The 25,303-nt window shown below is 39.6% G+C and overlaps 1 pseudogene; it reads left to right on the top strand.

Moving 5' to 3' along the window:
* On the top strand, positions 23,754 to 24,346 carry RPL11P2 (ribosomal protein L11 pseudogene 2; annotated as a pseudogene).

The following is a 25,303-nucleotide window of genomic DNA, read 5'->3' on the forward strand; positions in this document are numbered from 1 at the left end:
GTTTGCATTTTTAAGAGATCACTCTGGCTGCAGAGTGAAAAGCAAACTGTAGAGGGGAAATGAAAGCATAAAGCCATGGGGAGGCTATGAATTAGCCAAAGAATGAGATGGTGGTGGCTTGGGCTAAAGTATGATGAAGGGAGTGAAAAGTGAGAATAAATTCTGGAGATGGAACCTACAAGACTTGATGAGACATAAGTTATATGGGAATGAGAGAAATTAAAGATGCAGCTGGGAGATTGGTTGAGGCATTTACTGACACTGGGAAGATTTAGAGAGGACAGTTTAGGAGTGGTAGGGAATAAAGACTTCATTTGTAGACATGTTAAAATTAAAAAGTACATGAGAGATTTGAGTGGAGATATGAAATAGGAAGCTGGATATGCAAGTGTGGACATGCAAAACTGGAATTTGGAGAAATGGACAATTTAAATGCTATCTTTTTTCTGATCATTCATAAAAGTCTTATTTAAATAAAGCACTAAGTTTTACTCATTAAAATCTGCATCTGTTTCTGCCTTAAATACCTTTTATCTATCTATCTAAATTTCTACCAAATTTTAAACTCCTTCAGTGAAGTAAAAAAATGTTTCATACATCTCTGGAACTTTTTATAATTATTTTCACAAAGTAGGGACACATTTGTTCGAATTCACCTAAATACAAACTACATCCCATTTTTTAAGAAGCGATAGAGAGGAACCCAATTTAACATTTCTAATTATGTAAAAACAGTCACAGTTGGTCACTTTTATTTCAACATATTTTTCTACCTTATTTATGGGCCTTCTTGAAAAAGATTAAACAATGTAATTCTCACTCAATGACTTAAGGAAAATTAAGACCAAATTCATCCATCCAAATGTTTTCACTTTTTATTCTTTCCTTGAGCTAGGCTAGACTACTCTGATAATAGGAAATTGTATAAAATTCTGAGCTCTTCTACCAAATGTCTATGTAATCCAACAAACAAACTGATATGTCTGTGTGTAACATCTACAGATTCTGTGATGTTATTGAAGGTGGTGAATTGTCAGCTGGCCTTTCCTTTGGAAACAATAGAGGTCAGCAATTTTTCAGTTCTGAAGTCTCAGCCAAATTGTATTTGTCCTTTTAAGTACAAGATGAGAAGGTACAGCATAATCCTCTTTGCTACAGTTCTCATTAATTTAATGTGGGGCTATGGAGAAGTACAGAACAGCACTTCCTCATTGGTGTCTCAATTGCAGTTATGAAGCCAAAAAAGCTAGGATTTTGAAGTAAAAGAATTTATATTCTCAATGACATAGCATTATGCTAGAAAATATGTTTCCATATCCTATTCAGGAAATAGCTAGGTACGAACAGTTTCTCACTGTGCTCCAATCTACTGAGCAATAATTTTCTCTAAATAAAAAAAGGAAAACTGCTGTCAGAGTAGGGTGGGGTTTTTTTAACCAAGAGGGAAATAAAAGAGTAAGTAAGGAAGAAAGTAGTCATTCTGCCAGTTTTGCCCACTGGGTTCTAATCCAAAAGCCATACCTTTAAATCTGCTTCTTAATTTGTGAGTTCAACTATTAAAACAAACAAAATAATATTTTCTAAATAGAAGTCAAGCAACAATATTATTTTATTTCCTACCATAATGAGGTTTCACCTGGAAGAGGGGAAAAAAACTCTCTATCCAGTATATTGACTTCTCCATTGTTACTTTTATAAAAAGTATTTTTCTTTTTTAGTAATTGAATGCTTAAATGGTACAGAAAATTATTCTAATTATATTAGCAAATGTTTAGTATTACATACCCTTCAAGTGGGTGCTAAATAAATGCTAGGTTCAAAAACTATTTTTAATGAATAACAGCAAAGATTTATTGACACACATACATTTTCAGGAACATTAAAACTGATACTTTTCAAAAAGCATCTCCTTGGATTTAATCTCACATATGGGAATTTAGCCCAATATAATAAAAGAAAGAAAAATGTATGTATATATACACCAAAATGTGTAATGTTGTAATATTTTTGACCTAGAGGATAAAAAAAATTTTTATTATACTTTAAGTTCTGGGGTACATGTGCAGAACGTGCCGGTTTGTTACACAGGTATACATGTGCCATGGTGATTTGCTGCACCCATCAACCCGTCATCTACATTAGGTATTTCTTCTAATGCTATCCCTCCCCTAGCTCCCCACCCCCCAACAGGTCCTGGTGTGTGATGTTCCCCTCCCTGTGTCTATGTGTTCTCATTGTTCAACTCCCACTATGAGTGAGAACATGCAGTGTTTGGTTTTCTGTTCTTGTGTTAGTTTGTTGAGAATGATTGTTTCCAGCTTCATCCACGTCCCTGCAAAGGACATGAACTCAGAGGATAAAAAAATTAATGTATAAATGACCAGCAGTAGTTGACAGGCTTAGCAGATTATAACGAGTTGACACAGTTAATTAAAAAGATAATAAAGAATGAAGTTTTGTGCCAAATGTATATAAAATAACGCTAATGTTAAATTGTAGAAAACAAAACATTTTATATACTAGAGACTATGGTCTGAATATGTACCGCAAAATTTATATGCTGAAACTTAATTTTCAATGTGATAATATTAGAGGTGGGACCTTTAGGAGGTGATTAAGTCATGACGGTGGAGCCCTCGGGACTGGGTTTAACACTGCTATAAAAGAGGTGCAAAGGAGTTAACCCCCCTTCCCTTTCACCCTGTCATCGCTTCTGCCATGTGAGGACACAGCATTTACGGCACCATCTTAAAAGCAGAGACCAGGGCCCTCACCAGACACCAAACCTGCTGACATTTTAATCTGGGGCTCCCCAACCTCTAAAATTGTAAGAAATAAATTTCCATTATTTATCAATTATCCAGTCTTGGGTGTTTTGTTACAGCACCACAAACACACTAAGATTCTAGATTAACAAATATTTTCAACACATTCTATGGGAGCCCACGCCTCCAATTTCCTATCTAACAGGATATGAGTTTAGTTAAGGGCAACACTGTGTCCAGCTGCTTAGGATGAAGCATGATTGGTCCAGAGCAGCTGTCACTGAGCCATTTATCCTTTGCTACTATTATTTCCCCATCTATGTGACCCAGTTCTAGTCAATGGGAAGTGATATATAAAGGGAAGTTTTCTAAAGACAGGAAATCCTTCTGAGAAAGTGTTTTCCTCCCTGATAAAACAAAAATCCCTTCTGTTACCCATGTCTTTCGATCCCTAATTGGAATTCCAGTGCTATGGTGTGAGGTTTGGAACTGTGGGAACCATCGTAAAATGAGGCAACAAACACAGGAACCAAAAGACAACATGCTAAAGGTGATGGAACAGAAGTAAAAAAGAGTGTGGGTCCTTGATTATATTATTGAACCTCTGCACCACACCGAGAAGGGCAATCTCTGCACTTTTAAGCAAATAATAAATGTGGTTAATCCACCATTAGTTAGGTTTTCAGGTAATTGCAGTCAAACACATATTATCTAATAAATACTCAAATGTACATGAAGACTGGTAAGGATCAGAAAAATTAAAGTAGATGCTTTAAGGTAGCAGAAATATAGCTCATTTTTTTCCTTTCAGAAAATACGGAAAGTATGGGTAGCATGGGAAATTAAAACTATTTGTTCTTCCCAACTCTCCATACATTACTATTAAGAACATTTTTGGCATAGACCCTTTCAAGTACGTATCTAGCAAGGGAACTTAAGTACCACCTGGTTTCCCCTCATTTCAGGAATCAGCCCCAAACTTGAAGGCATAGAGACTGTAAGTTTCCCCACATTGTACAGAGAGTCTAAAATGATTTTGGCAGACATCCCCTCCAAGGTTTACAATAGGTGGAGGAAAATCTCAAGAGGCTAACAGCTCCTTTTAATGTCTGTCCATTAACATTTTTCAGCCTCACTCACATTCCCATCTTTGAAATTTCCTAGAGCCTCCAATTCCTCAGTTTTTCCAGGACTTGTTTCTTGGCTTCTACCTTTTCCAAAACACCTTGCAGGCTGATGTTTCAACCTTCTGACGTGCTAAGTTAGTTACCTGTTGTTTGTTCTTATCTCCCCATTCGTCCTTGGAAACTTACTTTTTAAATCTCTTTTCTATCATTTTAGTGGGTTGTGGGGTGGTAACAGGGATAAATGTATGTGTTTCATGATGTACACAAGGCATTTCATACATTTTCATGGAACTTACTATTGATTGACAAATGGCCTTTCAAAAGGGTTTTACCATTTACCCATGATGAGCTGGCTTTAGGGACCTTAAAATCAAATGTTAACAGAGTAGAAAATCTAATCAAGAATACAAAAAAGGCCAGGCGCGGTTTCTCACACCTGTTCGGAGGCCGAGGTGGGCGGATCATTTGAGGTCAGGAGTTCGAGGCCAGTGTGACCAACATGGAGAAACCCTGTCTCTACTAAAAATACAAAATTAGCTGTGTGTTGTGGTGCATGCCTGTAATCCCCACTACTTGGGAGGATGAGGCAGGAGAATCACTTGAACCTGGGAGGCAGAGGTTGCAGTGAGCCGAGATCACACCGCTGCACTCCAGCCTGGGCAACAAAAGCAAAACTCCATCTCAAAAAAAAAAAAAAAAAATCACTAAAGAGACTTTAGGAGGATAAACTATTAAAAGTCTCCCTTGCTTAGAACACATACTTTCTACCATACTGTCTCCTGTTTGTGGCATTTAAATAATGAAACGATAAACTAATACAGAGATCTGTTAGTCTACTTTGCATTGCTATCAGAGAATACTTGAAGCTGGGTAATTTATAAAGAAAAGAGGTTTAGGCTGGGCAGGGTGGCTCACGCCTGTAATCCCAGCATTTTGGGAGGCTGAGGCGGGTGGATCACCTGAGGTCAGGAGTTCGAGACCAGCCTGGCCAACATGGTGAAACCCCGTCTCTATCAAAAATACAAAAAATTAGCCAGGCATGGTGGCAGGCACCTGTAATCCCAGCTATTCAGGAGGCTGAGGCAAGAGAATCACTTGAACCCGGGAGGCGGAGGTTGCAGTGAGCCGAGATCACACCATTGCACTCCAGCCTGGGCAACGAGAGTGAAACTCCATCTAAGAAACAGAAAGAAAAGAAAAGACAAAAGAAAAGAGAAAGGAAAGGAAAGGAGGAAGGAAGGAAAGAAGGAAGGAAGGAAGGAAGGACGGAAGGAAGGAAGGAAGGAAGGAAGGAAGGAAGGAAGGAAGGAAGGAAGAAGGAAGGAAGGCAGGAAGGAAGGCAGGCAGGCAGGCAAAAGAAAAGAAAAGAGAAAGAAAGAAAGAAAGAAAGAAAAGAGATTTATTTGGTTCATGGTTCTGCAAGCTATACAAGAAGCATGGCGACAGTATCTGATTCTGGTGAGGCCTCAGAAAACTTACAGTCATGGCAGAAGGCAAGCGAGGAGCAGTTGTGTCACATGGTGACAGAGTGAACAAGAGAGAGTGGCAAAGGTGCCATGTTATTTAAACAACCAGCTCCCACATGAACTAATACAACAAGAACTTACTTATTACCACAGGGCAGGCACCAAGCCATTCATGAGGAATCCACTCCCATAACCCAAATACCTCCCGTTAGGCCCCACTTCCAACATTGGGGATCACATTTCAACATGAGATTTGGAGTGAACAAATATCTAAACTATATCAAGAGATAAATAATATTCCCAAAGGAAATCAGATAAAACAGGTAAAAGAATCTCCAAGGGTAAAATCTAAATACACACAAGATAATAAATGGAAAAAAATGCTTTATTGTCCAAAAGTAACTAGACATGACCACAAAAGCAGTATCTATCTCAGACCATTTCTTTCTTTACCACTAAGGAGACTGGAGAGATGTTTTTAGTGGAAATAGATACAGGAGTGAGAAAGGCTGGTCCCAAACTTCTGGTGGTAAACAAAGGACAAGCAAATAAAGACATCCATTCACTCATTCAACAAATATTTATTCAACAACTATCTTATTTATGACAGACACTGTGCTTGACTTTAGGACTACCAGTGTGAACAAAAGGGATATGGTCTGCACCCTTGTCTGGAAAGTCTCTGCTCTCTGCTTTGGTCTGGAGTTCATAGTTCAGGAAGGATGAAAGATAATGAAAAAAACATAAATAATTATTTTGTCTACATTTGCCATAATCCTATTAGAGATAATAGTATGAAGCCGGCATGAGATGCAATAGAGGACCCAGCCTAGACTATGGACTAGAGAAAATATCATGTAAGATGTCACATTTAACCAGTGATTCTCAAAATGTGATTCCTACATTAAAATTTGAGAACCACTAATGTACACTGCAACTTGAAGGGTATGGAGGAGTCAACAGGGAAAGAGGAGGTGAAGAGCCGAGACAGAAGGTGTAAAAGGGATAGGAAAACTTCCATGGGATTTCAGAGGATTAACAGACTAGTTGGTGCGTGCAGAGATCAAGAAAGTTATGTCAATTTCTTCCCATTTTTTTCTTAATTTTAGTTCTTCTATTTGCCCTGTGTAGACCACCAAAACTAGCTTTTCCTTCATGCTAAGGTCAGGGAGTGATCTAACACAATTCTCAAATTTTATATGCATCAGAGTCACTTGTATATCTTCTTAGACCACAGATTCCTGGAGTTTATGATCCTGTAGATTTAAGTAGGGTCTGATAAGTTGCATTTGTAACAATTCCCTGGCTGGGCACAGTGGCTCACCTGTAATCCCAACACTTTGGGAGGCTGAGGTGGGTGGGTTGCTTGAGCCCAGGAGTTTGAGATCAGCCTGGGCAACATGGCAAAATCCTGTCTCTACAAGAAATACAAAAATTAGCCAAGTATGGTAATACTAGTAATACTGCTAGTTAAGGAACCATGCTTTGATAATCACTGCTGTAGCATGTGTTTCTAAAACTGAAATTCTGATTAAGAAGTCTGTGGTGAAGCCCAAGAATCTATATTTTAAACAATGGCTACGGTGATCCTTTTGATAAAGCAAAACTGGAAAACAAAGTTCTAGTTATAATTTCGCTTCTGGAGCCTCTCCTATAAAAACCTCTGCTGTTTGTTATTTTTCCTTCTATATTTAAATTACAAATTACTAATTTATCTACCCATGATGCATTCTCTTCACATTCAACAACAAGTAGAAGCCATTTAACTAAACCCTTGGGTTTTGCGTTTTACTTACTGTATTTTTCATTTCCATTAGTTTTATTCTTTTTCACATTTGCTTGGTCAGGGATTATACTTGGTGAGATTGTCATTAACATCTTTTTCCTTTACACTTATCATACATACTTATTTTATATTCTATTTTCAGTAATTCCAGTATCTGAGGTCTTCAAGGTTCTAATTCTGAAATTGGTTGTTTCTGGGTAACTCTTATTTATACTTGCTTGTTCCTCCACATGTTTGGTAGTTGGTGTGTGTGTGTGTTTGTGTGTGTAGGTGTGTGTGTGCACACATGTGTGTTTGTCTATGTGTGTGTCTGAGAGACAGAGGGAGAAAGAGTTCATTCTTATTGAGAGTTATCTTGTTAGATATCGTTGAAGCCTCAGTTGAAGGTGTGATCCTCTAAAACAGGATTTGTGTTTGTATAACCAGGTTAAACTAAACACTTGGCTTGGGGTTTTCCTGGGCCACATAGGTAAAGTGAATTCTGGTCCCCAATAAGTGTGAGGATCAGCTTACAGTTACAAATTCTCATGAAAGAAGTTTTGCTTATATTTGGGCCATGGCCAAGACAAGCAAGATTCCTTACTATCACCCTTTGTGGAAATTTTTTTCTGGCTCTCTATTTCGCTAAAGATGTCACTTTTCAGAAATCCTGATTTCTCCTCTAGTCTCTGATAAATCCACTGATCTCTCTGTGTTCCTATCCTTGACCTATTAAAACTAAAGCCTCCAGGCCACTAGAAATCTGCAGATTAGCCCAGGGCAGCTGCTGGCTTCAGTGCTGACCAAACGTGAGGATTTATACTTATCATTTTGAACTCAGAATTTCCTTTTCATCCTTGCCAACCCAGCTATGCACCTAAAAATATGTATGTGTGTGTATGAGAGTGGTGCATTTATAAAGCTTTGGGGTATTTATGAACTATCTAGTCTACAACATTGCTGGAAATGGAAGCTCCCCTCACTATATTTTTATATTTTATCCTGAGGCAGAACCCTTTTGATCTCTGAGCCAAGGAAAGAATAACCTTTATCCTCCTCTATCTCTGGCTATGCTTGTAGAAAAAAATTATCAAAATATTCATCTTTGGTACTCTTATTTCAATTTTTTTCCATCTCCTGGCATCTTCTTTTCTTACTCATTCTCCCTTCCACTCTCTCTTCTCTCTAAGCACATGGGTCCTCCCCCTCACAGCAGGACTCTACTGAAGTTCTAGGAGTAACTGTCACTTTCTGTCATCAAAGTTCTACTTCTCCTTGAGTCCTCTTGAAACTTCAAGTTATTGCCCAACTTGCTTAATCATCCAGGTTATTAATGCTCCCAAGAGTACTTTATATATGTAAAGTATATTTCCTACATATTCACAGCACCCCCAGTTGATAGAATTCCAGGCAACTTTTTAAAAGTAAAGGTAACACTAAAGAAATAGCTATTTTCCAGCCAGTGATTTCTCCCCATATTCCATTTAGAAACACAGAGAGGAATCTATTGCCCATGTAAGACCAGCACATACTCATAGCTAATGTGAAAGTTGACAGTCTTTAAGAGTGCACATTTAAATTACAGAAAATGTCAAGAAGAGTTAACAAGAATAAAAATTGAAAGCCACAGAATAAGTTGTAACATATGGCACATTTGTTTAATGTCTTTGTTAATGAAACCAAAAATGTAAGCAGCAAATTAATTACCATGTGCCAATGATACAAAATTAAGATGTGGCATCAGTGGCATGAGGAAAGAATACAGAGGTTCAAAGTTAAAAATATGGGCAGAAAAAGAAAATGGGCTTTCGGATGAGTACAAACAAGCTACCACATCATACGAAACATAACGACCCTTTATAAAAGAAAACCTTAGAACCAAGAGGCAGATAATGGGAGGGGAAAGACAAAAGTGGTCTTAAAGCAGCCATTTGCAATGTGAATGAACTAGAACCAAAGTAACAAAAATGAAAGCCTCTAACAATGACATTGCAGTGTCGATAAAGCACCAAATCACAACGTACCATTATTTTGGACTTTATAATATTTAAGCAGCAAAAGCAGCAACATAATGTAGAGGGAAATTTTCAGAGAAAGCTCTGACCCTACACTTCAGTGAAGGTTTATTTACAGAAGCACAGCTTTCTGAGTGGTTTAGTTTTGTTTTATTCTTATCTTAGAGAACACCCAACAAAGAAAGCAAACACCTTTGAGACTAGGCACTTTGCCCACAGGGAAAACAAAAATCAAGCCTTGCTGCGTGAACCCCAGTACCTTCCTGACCTGACTGGGGCTTTCCTTGCCTCATAATGACAGACAACCCAGTGGGAAAAGCAATACAAAAGCTCTATTCACCTTCACATGCCAATACCTGGGTCTAAGCGGGGTACTTACTGGCCTACCCTGTCACTCACAAAGTTTTCCCCTTCTATCTATCCAAAACTCCCTTTCCCTGTATAGAAAAGCAGGAACCTCTCTCCCACTACCCCACACTCCCAACCTCCAGTCTTTCTCAACTGTAGATCCTCATTTGACCCACAGAAAACAAAAATAATTTGAATGATTCTTTTCTCAGTTCTCCCAAGGAGAGTACTAACTAATAACATTCCAAAAGCATAAGAGAGAAATTAACTCATTACATACAATGACTGCTGTTGGACATTAGAGCTACATTCTCAAGGTTCTCGTGTCTTTTTTGTATTATTTGTTCTTCTGCATGATTCCTAATTTCCAGGACAATCACCAAGAAACAAGCCTAGCCTTGGCTCCTGCAGCCCACACATTGTTTCCCCAGTTACTCACACCAGCTCCACCTCCCCACACCTGGCCTTGTAAAGTCAGAATCACTCTGAGGGATAAGCATACAGCCAAACTAGAGTATTCAAGCAGCTTAAAGCTATCCTACAGAACAGAACTAAATGTTTTTTGTTTTTTGTTTTTTTCATTCAAATGTCAAGAAGTCTTTGAGGACTGACTGGGATTCTGAAATGAAGACAAGTCTCTTCCTTGGGTAGCATGCCAACTGGTTGTGCAGCAGCACAGTGGTACAGGGAAAAGATCATGGGCTTTAGAGTCAGCCAGAACTCGTCTTACTCTACAGCTTTGCCTCTTGCTTTTTATGTGACTCTGGACACTTCCTATAATTTTACAAATCTTAGTTTCCTCTTCAAAAAAACATGGAAATATTAATCCTATCTCACTAGTTTGTTTTGAATAAAAAATAAAATGGAATTATACACAGCAGCAATAGTATTGCACACATCATACACAAAAGAAGTATTACACAAATCAATATGTAGCAGACAGAGCAGAAATAGTAGTGTACATAAAAATGAGTGCTAGCTCCATGCTTTCTAGAGAAACAAAGCATGCCCACCTGGGAGAGGTGTGCAACAGTGCAAAGCAATTACTGGTAAGTGTCCAGTGATAAATGATGTAGTCAGCAAATATGTTATTCTAAGTACAATTATGGATCTAGGAAGTACATTCTATTGTTGATAAGAACCAAATGATAAATGGTCTACTTAGCAATATTCTTTCAGAGGAAGAAAAGAGAAACTCAATGTGGCCTGGAATGGACTAGAAAAGTAGTTGTGGGAAAGACCAGAGCTTGAAGGGTAGGCATTATTTGTTCTGTTTCTGATTTTGTTTTATTTTTATTTTATTTTTTAATCAACATGCCATGAAATTTAACTTTTTTCAGTGTACAGTTCTATGAATTTTAACTCAGGTATAGATTTGTATAAACATCACCACAATCAGGACACTGAATAGTTCCATCACCCCAAAACATCCACATTCCTGCTTCTCTAACTCCTGGAAATCACTGATATGTTTTCTATCACTACAGCTTTTCAAGGTTACCATATAAATGAAATCATACAGCATGTAACCTTTTGAGACTGGCTTCTATTTCATAGTGTAATGCCTTTGATTCATCTGTCTTATTGCAGGTACCAGCATATCATCCCATTCTACCGCTGAGACGTATTGCATTCTATACCTTCTATGGACATACCACAATTCTATGGACATACCACAATTTGGCTATCTATTCACCCAATGAAGTCCTTTAGGTCATTTTCAGGTTTTGGCTATTATAAGTAGAGTAGCCATAAACATTTGTGTGCAGGTTTTGTATGGACTAGGCACTTGGCTTGCATTGTTGTTTACCTCCCTTGGGCAGGCATGTTATTTTCTTTAGGAAGAATGGAACTAGCATTTATTATTATGTAAAATACTATTTTGTTATATATACTATGTATTGTTGTGTATTGTTTTCATGTCTCTGGACAAATACCTAGGAGTGGGACTGCCAGGTCATATGGTAAGTTACTGTTTAACTTCATAAGAAACTGCCCAACTGTTTTCCAGATTGGTTGTACCATTTTACATTCCCACCAGCAATGCATGAGATTTCCAGTTGTTCTGTTAAGTCAGCACTTAGTACTGTCAGTATAGATTTAACTTTAGCCATTTTAACAGCTGTGTAGTGGTACTGTACCATGGTTTTAATTTGCATTTCCCTAATGTTTAGTGATGTTGAACATCTTTGCATGTGCTTGTTCACCACATGGATACCCTCTTTGGAGCATATTTTTATCTTTTAAAATTTTTCTTTTATGACTTTTATTTTCTTTCCTAATTATAAAACTAATTTTGTTTGTTTTTTGAGACAGGATCTCTCTCTCTGTCACCCAGGCTGGAATGCAGTAGTGCAATCACGGCTCACTGCAGCCTCAACCTCCTGGTTCAAGGGATTCTCCATGAGCCACTGAATACAGCCCCTAATTATAAAACTAATGATTTTAAAGGGGATGTTTAAAATATAGAACATTTTTCAATACAAAAAGAATTCTGTCATTTCTATTGCCATCTTCTGTCCCAGCCAGTGACAAAACAAAATGAATAATTTGGTGTGTTTCTTCCCAACTTCTGTAATGTATCATTGCAAATGTAAATATGGGCCTAGATTTGTGATGGAGTGTTTTTCAGCAAAATCAGAATTATATAGTAAATACAGTTTTGATGCATGAAAGTAGTAAATTCATCACTATATATATCTTTTTGGAATACAGCAAATTTTCAAGTTCAGAAAAGAAGGAATATATAAAGAATCAGGTATCAAATGACAACTTACTTTCAAAACAGGTAATTCCATTTTACTCCTAGTAATGTAATGGTGTCCCTGTATATTACTCAAATAACAAATTATGCTACAATAACAAATAAATCCTGAAATCTCAGCAACTCCATGTAATAAAAGTTTCCTTCTCACTCATATCACAGACACTGTAATATGTACTGCTCTCCTTTAACAGTGACTCAGGGACAAGTTATGTTTCCATTTTGCAATACGCTATCTTACACTTTTTCTTTTTCAGCTGCCTGGAGGAGCAAAGGAAAGGTTTATAATACTCTAACTGCTTTCAATCAGAAATGGCACATTATTTCTTCCCACTTTCCCATTGGTGAGAATAAATCCTGTGACTCACATATAGGTGCCTGGGGTTGAAATGCGGAGGAGCACACAGCAATCAGGGTGCACAAACCCGTCTGCCACTGCCTGAAATGATGGTAGAGGCGTAATATCTGACTAATTCTAATGGTGACAGAGGCATTCCAGAGAGACAAAGTTCATTCTAGCAAAGAAATATGTATATAGTTTTATTAAGCAATGATTAAAATTTTGCGTCCACTTAAAAGACATTCCCATGAAGGAGATAAATGCAAGTTATTTAAAATTCTAATTTAAAACATATTTTTTAAAAGCCGAATTATCTTAGGTCAGACGTATCACAGTATTTTCATCTTTTGTTGTATGATTGATTTTTGCAAACTCTCTTTCATTTTAGTTGCAGCTCCCTTAAGAATAATAGACTTCTGTTGTCCTCATGGCTATCCCAACCACAAGCATTCCCTTCCAATTGTATATACACATATAATCACATGACCTTGTCTAGCCAACATTAAGAATTTGCCATTCCTTCATGCCCTATTTCCTTCAGCCACAATAGTGGTTAAGTACCAACCAGTTGTTAGTATTCTTTAACTGATTTAAGAATTAATCTCATCAGATTTTGAATGTTCACAACACAAATGGCTGTGATGGATATGCTAATTATCTTGATTTGATCATTGTACATAGTAGACACATATAAAAACATCACTCTGTATCCCATGAATATGTACAATTATTGCTGAATTAGTCCTCACACTGCTACAAAAAACTACCTGAGATTGGGTAATTTATAAAGGAAAGAGGTTTAATTGACTCACAGTTCAGCAAGGCTAGGGAGGCCTCAGGAAACTTACAGTCATGGCAGAAGGGGAAGCAAACACATCCTTCTTCACATGGTGGCAGGAGAGAGAAGTGCTGAGCAAAGTGGGAAAAGCCCCTTATAAAACCATCAGATCTCATGAGAATTCACTGACTATCAGGAGAACAGCATGGGGGAAACTGCCCCCATGATCCAATCATTTTCCACCAGGTCCCTCCTATGACACATAGGGATTCTGGGAACTACAATTCAAGATGAGATTTGGGTGGGGATACACCAAACTATATCATTCTGTCCCTGGCCACTCCCAAATCTCATGACCTCACATTTCAAAGCACAATCATGCCTTCCCAACAGTCCCCCAAAGTCTTAACTCAACCCAGCATTAACTCAAACATCCAATTCCAAACTCTCATCTGAGACAAGGCAAGTACCATCTGCTTATGAACCAGTAAAATCAAACACAAGTTAGTTACTTCCTAGATACAATGAATGGGGGTACAGGCATTGGGTAAATACACCCGTTCCAAATGGGAGAAGTTGACCAAAACAAAGGGGCTGCAGGTCCTATGCAAACCCAAAATCCAACAGGGCAGTCATTAAACCTTAAAGTTCCAAAATGATCTCTTTTGACTCCATGTCTCACATCCATGTCACACTGATGCAAGTGGTAGCCTCCCACAGCCTTGGACAGCTCTGCCCCTGTGGTTTTGCAGGGTTCAGCCTCCATCCCGGTTGCTTTCATGGATGGGTGTAGAGTGTGAGTTTTCCAGGCACGCAGTGCAAGCTGTCAATGGATCTACCATTCTGGGGTCTAGAGGATGGTGGCCCTTTTCTCACTGCCCTAGCTACACTAGGCAGTGCCCCAATAAGGACTCTGTGTGGGGGTTCCACTCCCACATTTCCCTTCCACACTGCCCTAGCAGAGGTTTTCCATGAGGACTCTGCCCCTGCAGCAAGCTTCTGCCTGAACATCCAGGCATTTCTATACATCCTCTGAAATCCAGGCGGAGGTTCCCAACCCTCAATTCTTGACCTCTGTGCTTTCACAGGCTCAACACTACATGGAAGCCACCATGTGTTTGGGTTTGCACCCTCTGAAGCAATGGCCCAAGCTGTACCTTGGCCCCTTTTAGCCACAGCTGGATCTGAAGGAGCTGGGATGCAGGGCACCATGTCTCAAGGCTACACAGAGCAGGGGGTGCCTGGGTCTGGTCTATAAAACCATTTTCTCCTCTGGGCATGCGATGAGAGGGGCTGCTGTAAAGGTTTCTGACATGCCTTGGAGACATTTTCCCCATTGTCTTGGTGATTAACATTCAGCTCCCAACTACTTATGCAAATTTCTGCAGCCAGCTTGAATTCCTCCCCAGAAAATGGGTTTTTCTTTTCTACTACATCATCAGGCTGCAAATTTTCCAAACCTTTATGCTCTGCTTCCTCTTGAATGCTTTGCCATTTAGAAATTTCTTTTACCAGATATCCTAAATCATCTCCCTCAAGTTCAAAGTTCCACAGATCTCTAGGGCAGGGGTAAAATGCCACCAGTCTCTTTGCTAAAGCATAGCAAGAGTGGCATTTACTCCAGTTCCCAACAAGTTCCTCATTTCCATCTGAGAGCACCTTAGCCTGTACTTCATTGTCCATATCACTATCAGAATTTTGGTCAAGGACATTCAACAAGTCTCTAGGAAGTTTCAAACTTTCCCACATCTTCCTGTCTTCTGAGCCCTCAAAGTCTCCAGGAAGTTCCAGACTTTCTCATATTTTTCTGTCTTCTTTTGAGTCCTCCAAACTGTTCAAAGCAATAGTGGCAGGAGGCAGACAAATGCCTAGGCAGATAGGGACAGATCCCCAGTGAAAATCCACCTATAAGCCAAAGACTGTTTAAAGCCTGAAACCCTAGCTATAAGTCAAATCCACAGACTGGATTGAGAACCTGTCTTCCCGTTTGACACACTCCTCTGACTGATCCCCACCCTTCACCTATTTTACATATACCTACCCTTTCCTAATTGGTTTTCTACACTGCCATGACCATATTTGAGTTGTGCCTTTGCTTTAGTCTTTTGCTTTAGCCTTGCATACTCACAAACCAGTCAGCACATACTCCCATAGTCTAAGCCCACAAAAGCCCTGGACTCAGCCACACTGGGAGAAAAACCACCTGACTGTGGGGGTGAGGGACAACCCCCATGTCCACTCTCCACTAGAGCTGTTCCGTCACTCAATAAAATTCTTCTCCGCTCCCATCACCCTTCAATTGACAGTGTATCCTCATTCTTCTTGGATGCAGGACAAGAGCTCAGGAACCACTGAACACAGGTACAAGCTATAACAGAGGCAGGCTGGGGCATGCCCAGCCCAGCTACAGGCTGAGCCAGCGCACAAGCCAAACTTAGCCCAGGTCAGGCAAGTGGGCAGGGTGCCTCCTGCAGCAGGTAGCGGGTCTGAGTGAGTCCCAGTGAGGGGCGTCACCAGCCAGAGGTCCCTGGCTGGCAAATTGACTGAGAAAAATCCTACATCAAAACCTCTGCCTGTTACCCAGTTCCAAAGTCACTTCCACATTTTCAGGTATCCTGATAGCAGCAGTCCACTACCTTGGTACCAATTTACTGTATTAGTCTGTTCTTATGCTGCTATAAAGAACTGCCCAAGACTGGGTAATTTATAAAGAAAAGAGGTTTAATTGATTCACAGTTCTGCATGGCTAGGGAGGCCTCAGGAAACTTACAGTCATGGTGGAAGGTGAAGCGGGAACCTTCTTCACAAGTCGGCAGGAGGTAGGGAGTGCCAAGCAAAGGGGGAAGAGCCCCTTATAAAACCATCAGATCTCATGAGAACTCACTCACTATCATGAGAACAGCATGGAGGAAACTGCCCCCATGATCCAATCACTTTCCACTGGGTCCCTCTCACAACATGTAGGGATTATGGGAACTACAATTCAAGATGAGATTTGGGTGGGACACAGCCAAAGCATATCATTTGTCAACTAAAAATAAAAGGGGAAATTTAAACGGCGCCTAGAGCAGGCAGACAGGAGCCTTCTACACATGGTGCCAATTAGACAGAGTGTTTCTCCTTGTAAAAAGAAAGAGGAATTGGTGAAGGTGTGGGTCAGAAATGTTAATTAAATGAGACTTTCTTTCTACAAATGTGAATAGTTCATGTATTGCTATCTTCTAAGTAAAAGACAAAAGACAGGAAGGACTGACCTTTAACTTCCTTTACAGTGTCATATTCCTAAAGAAAACCCATGAAAGTGATATCACCAAAAACAGTGGAGTAGGAACACCAGGGCTTTTTCCCTCCACAAAAGCAATTCATGAGCTGGCAAAAACTGAAATAACTTTACACAATTCTGGAATCAACCAAAAACTTTCAACAACCAGCTGAAGACTGGGTGAAAAAATAAGCTGCTGCTTTGTGGTAAGAGAGTGTCCTAGCATGTTAAATTGCCCACTTGCCATCCCTCACATCTCATGTTGGCAGTAGCCATTCGTGTAGCAGCCCACACTCCTGGCACAGACTCCTAGTACCAGGTGGAGTAACTCAGAACTTGTTCTTAAAGAAATATGATTGCCCATTTTGTCCTGTGTAGTGGCCCCCTAAGGAACTGGCAAAGTGGCTTGCCTTTGTTTAGCCACCTCAGAGTGTTCTCAAGGATGAGTGGCTTTCTGGGTAACATTTGCCAAAAGCATTGAAGGCAAAAGTACTGGCCACAGCAGACTGGAGCAAGGTACAACACTTGGGCCAAGCAATAGACAGACTATAAAGAGAAATCTGAAGTAAGTTCAGAAAAGAGATGTAATGGAAAAAACAAATTGGCCTTCTTGGGCATATTTTATTATCAGGATTTATGGATTATCAGACTTTACTTAGTTGTAATCTAAAATGTGGTGGCCTCCCAATAAATGGTTGTTTAAATGATTGATTAGTGGATCCGTAGATGGATGGAATAAAAATGGTCTACATCCACTGTTTCTTATTTATTAAAAGTTAACTTTTTATCCTTTTCCATATTTTTGTGTTTAATTCATATTTCTATAATAAGACCATAAGACCCTCTTATACTACTTTTAGAATATTAAAACAATCAATAATAGCATTATACATATATATCATTTTTAAACTGTTATGATTTAAAAATCATATTATTTAAGTTATGAAAACATAACTTATTAAAGTTATGATTTCATACTGAAAATATTAATGTCACTGAAATAGTTTAATTATATCAGATTTTTCAGACATTTAAACATAAACTGAATTCACTTGGTATCAATCCAATGCAACTGTTTTTAAACAAACAATAAAACCACTTATGAAGACCTGTTCCTATTCTCCAGATTCCTTATATTCTATTAGACATTATTATCCAGATAGCTTGTTCTTTCTACCAAACTGGATATTGTCCTTTTTTTCAAGTTTTTAATTGATACATAATAATTGTATATATTTAGGGGGTATATAGTTTTATTTAGTTTTGTTTTTTGAGATGAGGTCTTGCTCTGTTGCCCAGGCTAGAGTGCAGTGTTACAATCATAGCTCACTGTAGCCTCAAACTCCTGGACTCAAGCTATCCGCATGCTTCAGCCTCCTAAGTAACTGGAACAACAGGCACATGCCACCATGCCTGGATAATTTATTTTTATTTTTATTTTTTCACAGAGTGGGTCTCACCATGTTGCCCAGGCTGGTCTCAAACTCCTGGCCTAAAGCAATCCTGTCACCTCAGCCTCCCAAAGTAATGGGATTACGAATGTGAGCCACTGCGCACAGCAGTACATAGTGATGTTGTGACACATGTAATGTATAGTGATCAAATCAGGGTAATTAGCATATCTATCATCTCCAAAATTTATCATTTCTTTGTGTTGGCAACATTCAATATCCTCCTAGCTATTTGAAACTATATAATATATTATTGTTAACTATTGTCATCCTACATCTATACAACACTATAACTTATTCCTCCTATCTAGCTATAATTTATATCCTTTAACAAGACTCTCTATTTCCTCCTTCTCCATGCCTTTCCCAGCCTCTAGTATTTTCTGTTTGACCTTTTACTTCTATGAGATCAAAACTTTTTTAGCTTCCATACTGAGTGAAGACATGCAGTATTTAACTTTCTGTTACTAGCTTATTTCACCTAACATAATGTCCTTTATTTCCATCCATGTTGCCATGAATGACAAAATTTCACTCTTTTTATGGTTGAATAGTGTTCCATCGTGTGTGTATGCATTCGTTCATCTGTTGTTGGACACCTAGGTTGATTTCATATCTTGGCTATTCCAAATAGTGCTGTAATAAACATGGAGTGCAGATGTCTCTTTGATATACTGATTTCCTTTCCTTTGGGTAAATGCCCAGAACTAGGATTTCTGGATCATATGGTAGTTCTATTTTTAGTTTTTTTGAGGAACCGCCATACTGTCCTGAAATCTTGGACCATGGCAGAGTGTCACATAGGATGAGTTCAAAGTTTTCATGTGGATTAAACTGGCATGTACTAGATTTTTGAAACACTCAAAGCAATCAGAATGCTGTGAATCTTCCCAAGATGTTGTAAAGGGTCAAAATAATGAGACTAGAAAGAAAACGCATCAAGGCAGGAATAAGGAAAGAAAAATTAAAACTACTCTAGTCCCTCATGCACACTCAGTTCAGACTGTTCAATAAACCAGTTTTATAAGTCTAAATATAAATGTATTTACTCTAGGAAAAATAGATTATTAGTATGATTATCCAATGAATTGCCATGTAGTACATCTCCTCTTTAGTATTTATCCCACTGGCAACCAGCTTATGATAGAATATAACAAATAAGCAAATAAACTGCCCCTAACCTAGCTATGTTGGCATTATCTTCATTTTTACTTTTAGAAGTCAAATCTAGTGTAGTTCAAATCACGTTTCTCACACCTCACTTTTTCCTCCCCCTCTCTTGGGACTTCAAATTCATCTTCAGGCTTCCCATTTTTATCTTCAAAGACAACCTGAACCCTTCAATCTCTTACCTTTGCTCTCCCCAGTACATGTTAACCTGCTGCACCTTTAAATGTGTTGCCTACTGTTAAATAAATGTAAGAAACATCCTACCACTCAAATTTACCTCCTTATAAGCTCTTCAGAAATCTTTCTTCTAATGGAAATGTTACTACTGTCCATTTTATCTCCTCCAAGTTTGACAATCAAACACATTACAAAATGCAAAAAGAAAAGGCAAAACTTGTACAGCTAGTAATTTGATCTTTTTCTAAATGTGTATATTACAAATTTTACATAAATACTTGCTTAATCAAATAATTTGCTTCCTGGGAAGTGACCTGGTCTTTTACTAGAGGGTTGTAAGTGGCAAAGGAGCCCATAATTGGGACAAGACACCAGGAAATACCAAACCAGGGCCATGTGCCAGGAATACGAGAGCAGCACTTACTCTAAGAGCACACAGACAGCCATAGATCTTGTCGTTGGGCAGAAATCTGAGAAGTGAAGGTACAGGTTTTTCTTAAGAGATTTCAATCATCTGAAGGGTTTTCCAAACAAAATTACATGGTGTACCTATAAATTTTCTAAATTCTCTGTCCCCATTCCCAGAAATGGGAGAGAAGTTGATGGGAAGGCAGAGAGAGAAACTGAACTCTCACTGCTACTATCAATTCTGTGCAGGCCTGAAACAATAAACTTGTCTCCCTAACAGTTCAGAAATCTAGTTGAAAAATGAGCACTTGTAAAGGGAAAGCACCCTGAAATGTTAGGAAGAACTTGCAGTTTTAGAGCCAGAAAGATGTGAATTCCAGTTCTGTCTCCATCCTTCCTTTGATATATGTTCCTTGGCAAGTTGTTAATTTCTCAGAGACTATAATATCTCCCTGGCAGGACTGTGGTAAATAATAAACAAAATACTCTCTGTAAAACATTTAGGTCTATGCCTGGCACACAATAGGTACTGGACAAATGGGGATATCTTGAGTGTCTCTGAATGACCTTTTGAGAGTTCCCCCCTCTGGGCCTAAGTTTTGTTATCTATAAAATGGGTATATTAATATCCCATCACTATGTTGTTACAGGTAATAAACTAGACAATCTGAATGCAATAACTAGTATGATAAAGAGTGTATAAAAGTATTAAGTAAACATCATTTATTTTCCTTGTTAAATCAATTTTTTCAAAATGGTTTTTGATTAATGTGAATTGAGTAGTGAAACTGGAGCTAATGACAGACCAAAAATTGTATAGGAGACAGGCAATTCATCCTCCGACAACTGGGTAACCAGGAGAAAAGACCCAACATTGCAGATCTTTGACACTTGGGAGTCTAAAGCTTACTTTTCTTCCCACAAAAGTTCCAACTAATGGAGAAGTCCTACAAAGAATGGATGGCCAAACAGGAATCACAGTGTCTGCTGTATTAATGGCTGGGCCAGCACCTAATAACTTCCAACACACAGGGCCCAACTGTCAACTGTGAGGAAGAATAAATTTTAAGCCTTGGGACAAAATAATGGTCCTGACTCCTCCCAAATCTTGGTCCAAACTATGGGGAATGCAGTCTGTAGAGCACACCAAATCCACTTACCCAGCCAGCTTCAAGGAAGACAGCATCCTGCCGCATGGGTGATCACCTGGAGAACATTGCAGCTAGAGAGTTGAACTAAGAGGCCAGAGATGGCCAGGCGCGGTGGCTCATAACCGTAATACCAGCACTTTGGGAGGCTGAGGCGGGCAGATCATGAGGTCAGGAGATCGAGACCGTCCTGGCTAACACGGTGAAACCCCATCTCTCCGAAAAATACAAAAAAATTAGCCGGGCGTGGTGGCGGGCGCCTGTAGTCCCAGCTACTCAGGATGCTGAGGCAGGAGAATAGCATGAACCCAAGAGGTGGAGCTTGCAGTGAGCCGAGATCACACCACTGCACTCCAGCCTGGGCAAGTGACAGAGGAGACTCCGTCTCAAAAAAAAAAAAAAAAGAGGCCAGAGATGTGAGCAGGCCCACGGCACCTCAGGTTAAAGAGAGGCAGGTACAGCGCCTCAGGTCAAAGAGAGGCAGGACAGAGCCAGTTTCCCCAGCAAAAGGCATATTGATCACACTCACTAGTAAAATTGCCTGATCAATTAGCTCCACCCCTCCTCCTCCCTGGGGAGAATTGAGCACTGAGGTAGAGAGGAGCAGAAGAGACTCAAACACTCTCCACTCCTGGGAAAAGAAAGCTTGAGGAGAAGATTCCTAGTTGCATAAGGAAGAGGATAAGTGTCCCCTCCTTCCCCTCCCCAGGTCAAAGCTAAAACAAAGGCCAGGCGCAGTGGCTCACACCTATAATCCCAGCACTTTGGGAGGCCGAGGAGGGCAGATCACCTGAGGTCAGGAGTTCGAGACCAGTCTGGTCAACATGGTGAAACCCCGTCTCTGCTAAAAACACAAAAATTAGCAGGGCATGGTGGCGCATGCCTCTAATCCCAGCTACTTGGGAGGCTGAGGCAGGATAATCACTTGAACCTGGGAGGCGGAGGTTGCAGTGAGCCGAGATCAGGCCAATGCACTCCAGCCTGGGCAGCAAAGCAAAGCAGTAATTTGGGAATTAGGCAGATTGAAGAGGGGTCACAAATAGCACCAGAACTAGAGGTTGATTGGGAAGCCACCAAGATGTTTAAGGAAGCTACTGCATGTAGCCAGAGGCAAGGAGATTGCCAGGAGGCTTTGACAGAAGAGCAGGTCAGGGTGGGCCTTCTGCCAAGGCAGGAAGCAGGTCCTTAATATGAGAAACCCAGAGTCTCAGGTAGATAGAGCAAATAAAAGTGTGCCACCAAAGAGGCTTATGAATACAAAATGGGGAAATTAGCACTAAACAAAGGGTCAAGATATCTGGGCAGTCATTGCAGCCATTCTGACTGTACTGCTAACTAGCCATTGACCTCTAAACGTATCATTTTTCATCTCTGGACATCAGTTCCCTCAAATATAAAAATAAGTATCTTCCTTCTCCAACAATAAATGATCATAGAAAAGGAGATGTGCATTGTTTGGTGATGCATTCAATCTGTCCTGTGTCACCTGGATGCAGAAGACATGGGAACTATTGTCTTCTCAACAATGACAATGGAGCACATATTGAACAGAGGATATCTGTTCAAACACCACCCCAAAGTCCCAGAAATGCTGGGTGTGTTCTGCAGCAGGATATGAAAAGTGAAATAAGAAACTTTAAACTATATAAGCAGGCTCGCCTTCTTTTTCATATTTTTCTAGGAAATCAGTGAAACAAGAGAACAGCTCCAAGGACAGAACTTGTATTTGAAAATAATGATAGATGATACATTCTGAACAATTACTTATATGATTTTTTTTCTCTGTCTTCGTTTTCTCTCTCCCAAGCCCACACTTATAAAATATTGCAGTAAAGAAAAGGTCTTCCACTACAAAAAGTGCTTCAGGAAAGAGAGGACATTGTCATTTTTTTCAGGCCCTAAAAATATTGTGTATTGTAGAACTCAGATCCTGGAAAGGAGATTCTAACTTATCTATAAAGCTGAAATCTCCTCTGAAGGAGATTATATACCGCAGGATAGAGCCATATCTTTTCCTTTCTCTGGTAGAGAAAGAAGGCTTCATATTTGAATCTCTAAATTGTACCATTCTGAAAATCCACAAATAAAGAAATGCTTAGGAAAAAAGTGGGCTCCTGCTGACTAATTCTGAAATTGTAAGATTGTTCTCATTTTCATTTCCAGCAACCAAAAGAAGGAACACTTCTGGCCACATTCTCTCTCTATTTAAAGGATATGTGGCCAGTCTATGGGAACACCATGGTGGTAACTATGTGATTCTGAGTACTATGACTAACATACTTCTGAAAGCACAGATTTTTGGGGGCTTTTAGAAGATCCTGACAACATTTTAATATTTTATGGAGATATTAAAAGGGATTTCTCTCTTTCTGTATCACTGTAAAAGGAAGAAACAATTTAAAGCAACCTGGCACTCTTAGGAGCATATAATTCTTGATGGCAGCTCTTGCCTCTGCAGTTGTTTATATTTCACAATGAGGATTATGTCATTACCCTACAGGTAGCCCCATCCAAATACAATCTTATTACTAAAAGATTCTAGAATTTAATGGCTATCCCACAATAGACTGCTTTTCAGACATCAGTAGGATTTTCCAAATATCAAGGATATAATTTGCTGCATTGAAGTTGAATGAACTGCAAATTTTATTTACAGGTTTTTCATATACAGATATTTCTTGCCTGATCAGAGACTGATGTAGAGCTTCTGAAGCTGCCCAAAATATATCCCATTTGATGTTTCCTAAAGTTCTTTTAAGAGAACCTGAGCTCTTCCTGTTCTCTATCATGGCGGATCAAGGTGAAAAGGAGAACCCCATGCAGAAACTTCACATCTGCAAGCTCTGCCTCAACATCTGTGTGGAGGAGAGTGGAGACAGACTAACCCGAGCAGCCAAGGCATTGGAGCAGCTCACAGGGCAGAGTCCTGTGTTTTCCAGAGCTAGATACAATCAGATCCTCTGGCATGCAGAGAAATGAAAAGATTGCTGTCCACTGCACAGTTCAAGGATCCAAGGCAGAAGAAATCCTGGAGAAGGATCTAAAGGTGCAGAAGTATGAGTTAAGAAAAAATAACTTCTCAGATACTAGAAACTTTGGTTTTGGGATCCAGGAACACATCGATTTGGGTATCATATATGACCCAAGCATTGGTATCTACGGCCTGGACTTCTCTGTGGTGCTGGGTAGGCCAGGTTTCAGCATCACAGACAAGAAGCACAGGACAGGCTGCACTGGGGCCAAACACAGACTCAGCAAAGAGGAGATGATGCGTTGCTTCCAGCATAAGTATGATGGGATCATCCTTCCTGACAAATAAACCCGTTTCCATCAAAAAGGCCAATAAAAAGTTTTTGGTGGAAAAAAAAGAGAACCAGAAAGCTCAGCCTTCCTTAGACTTTATTTGCTGGGCACAGAAAATCATGCGCAGCCTTGCCAACCTTCTAAGGAATCAGAGAAAGCCTCATCCCACTGACTCATGACATTTAGAAATAATCTGCCAATGTAGACCTGGTTTCCGGTTTGAGGCCTGAGTCCACTATCATGGTCTTGCATCTGCTGTATTGACTCAGACTATGTAACCACAGTTCAGCCTCGACTTCCCTACTAGAACCTTCAGTTCCTTACCTGGGGGTGATGAGAGGATGGGCAAAGGGGAGTGCTCCCTAGGTTCTCATTCTCCATCTGTCCACTGGGTCCTGTTGCAAGGGGGTAAACCCTGGGAATCCCATTGTCTTTGCCCTCCAGACTCCTGATGTTGCTCCCTAACACTGACCTGTTGATCATCCTCCCTAACAGGGATTAATTCTCATGGACAACTCCAAACTCCCACTTGAGGCAAGAGGCAAAATTGCTATAGATTAGTGCCTTTTGGAGATTTAATTACTAGTTTTTCCAGATATTTTCCTGAAGATGATAAAGAGTCAAAATAGCTGAGCAAGGTGGCTCATGCCTGCAATATCAGCACTTTGGGAGGCTGAGGTGGGAAGATCACTTGAGCCCAGGAAGTCAAGGCTGCAGTGAGCCATGATCACACCACTGCACTACAGCCTGGGCAATACAGCAGGACACTGTCTCAAAAACAAAAAACAAACAAACCAAAAAAAAAAAAAGAGTGGCAGAGTGGCTAAATAGATTGTTTTGCTTTAATTCTCCTTCTTGACAAAGTTCGTTGATGAGTGAATGACTGAAGTTAAAAGTTCACAGGGAAGCAAAAGGAAAAACGAATGAAGTAATCTGGGTAATCAACTGCTGAATAATTTAGAAAAGATATTACATGCTGACAAAATGGGAAGTCTGAGCATATCACTTGTTTGCCT

The sequence above is a fragment of the Homo sapiens genome, chromosome 5 (assembly GCF_000001405.40).
Source record: "Homo sapiens chromosome 5, GRCh38.p14 Primary Assembly".
Classification (NCBI taxonomy): domain Eukaryota; kingdom Metazoa; phylum Chordata; class Mammalia; order Primates; family Hominidae; genus Homo; species Homo sapiens.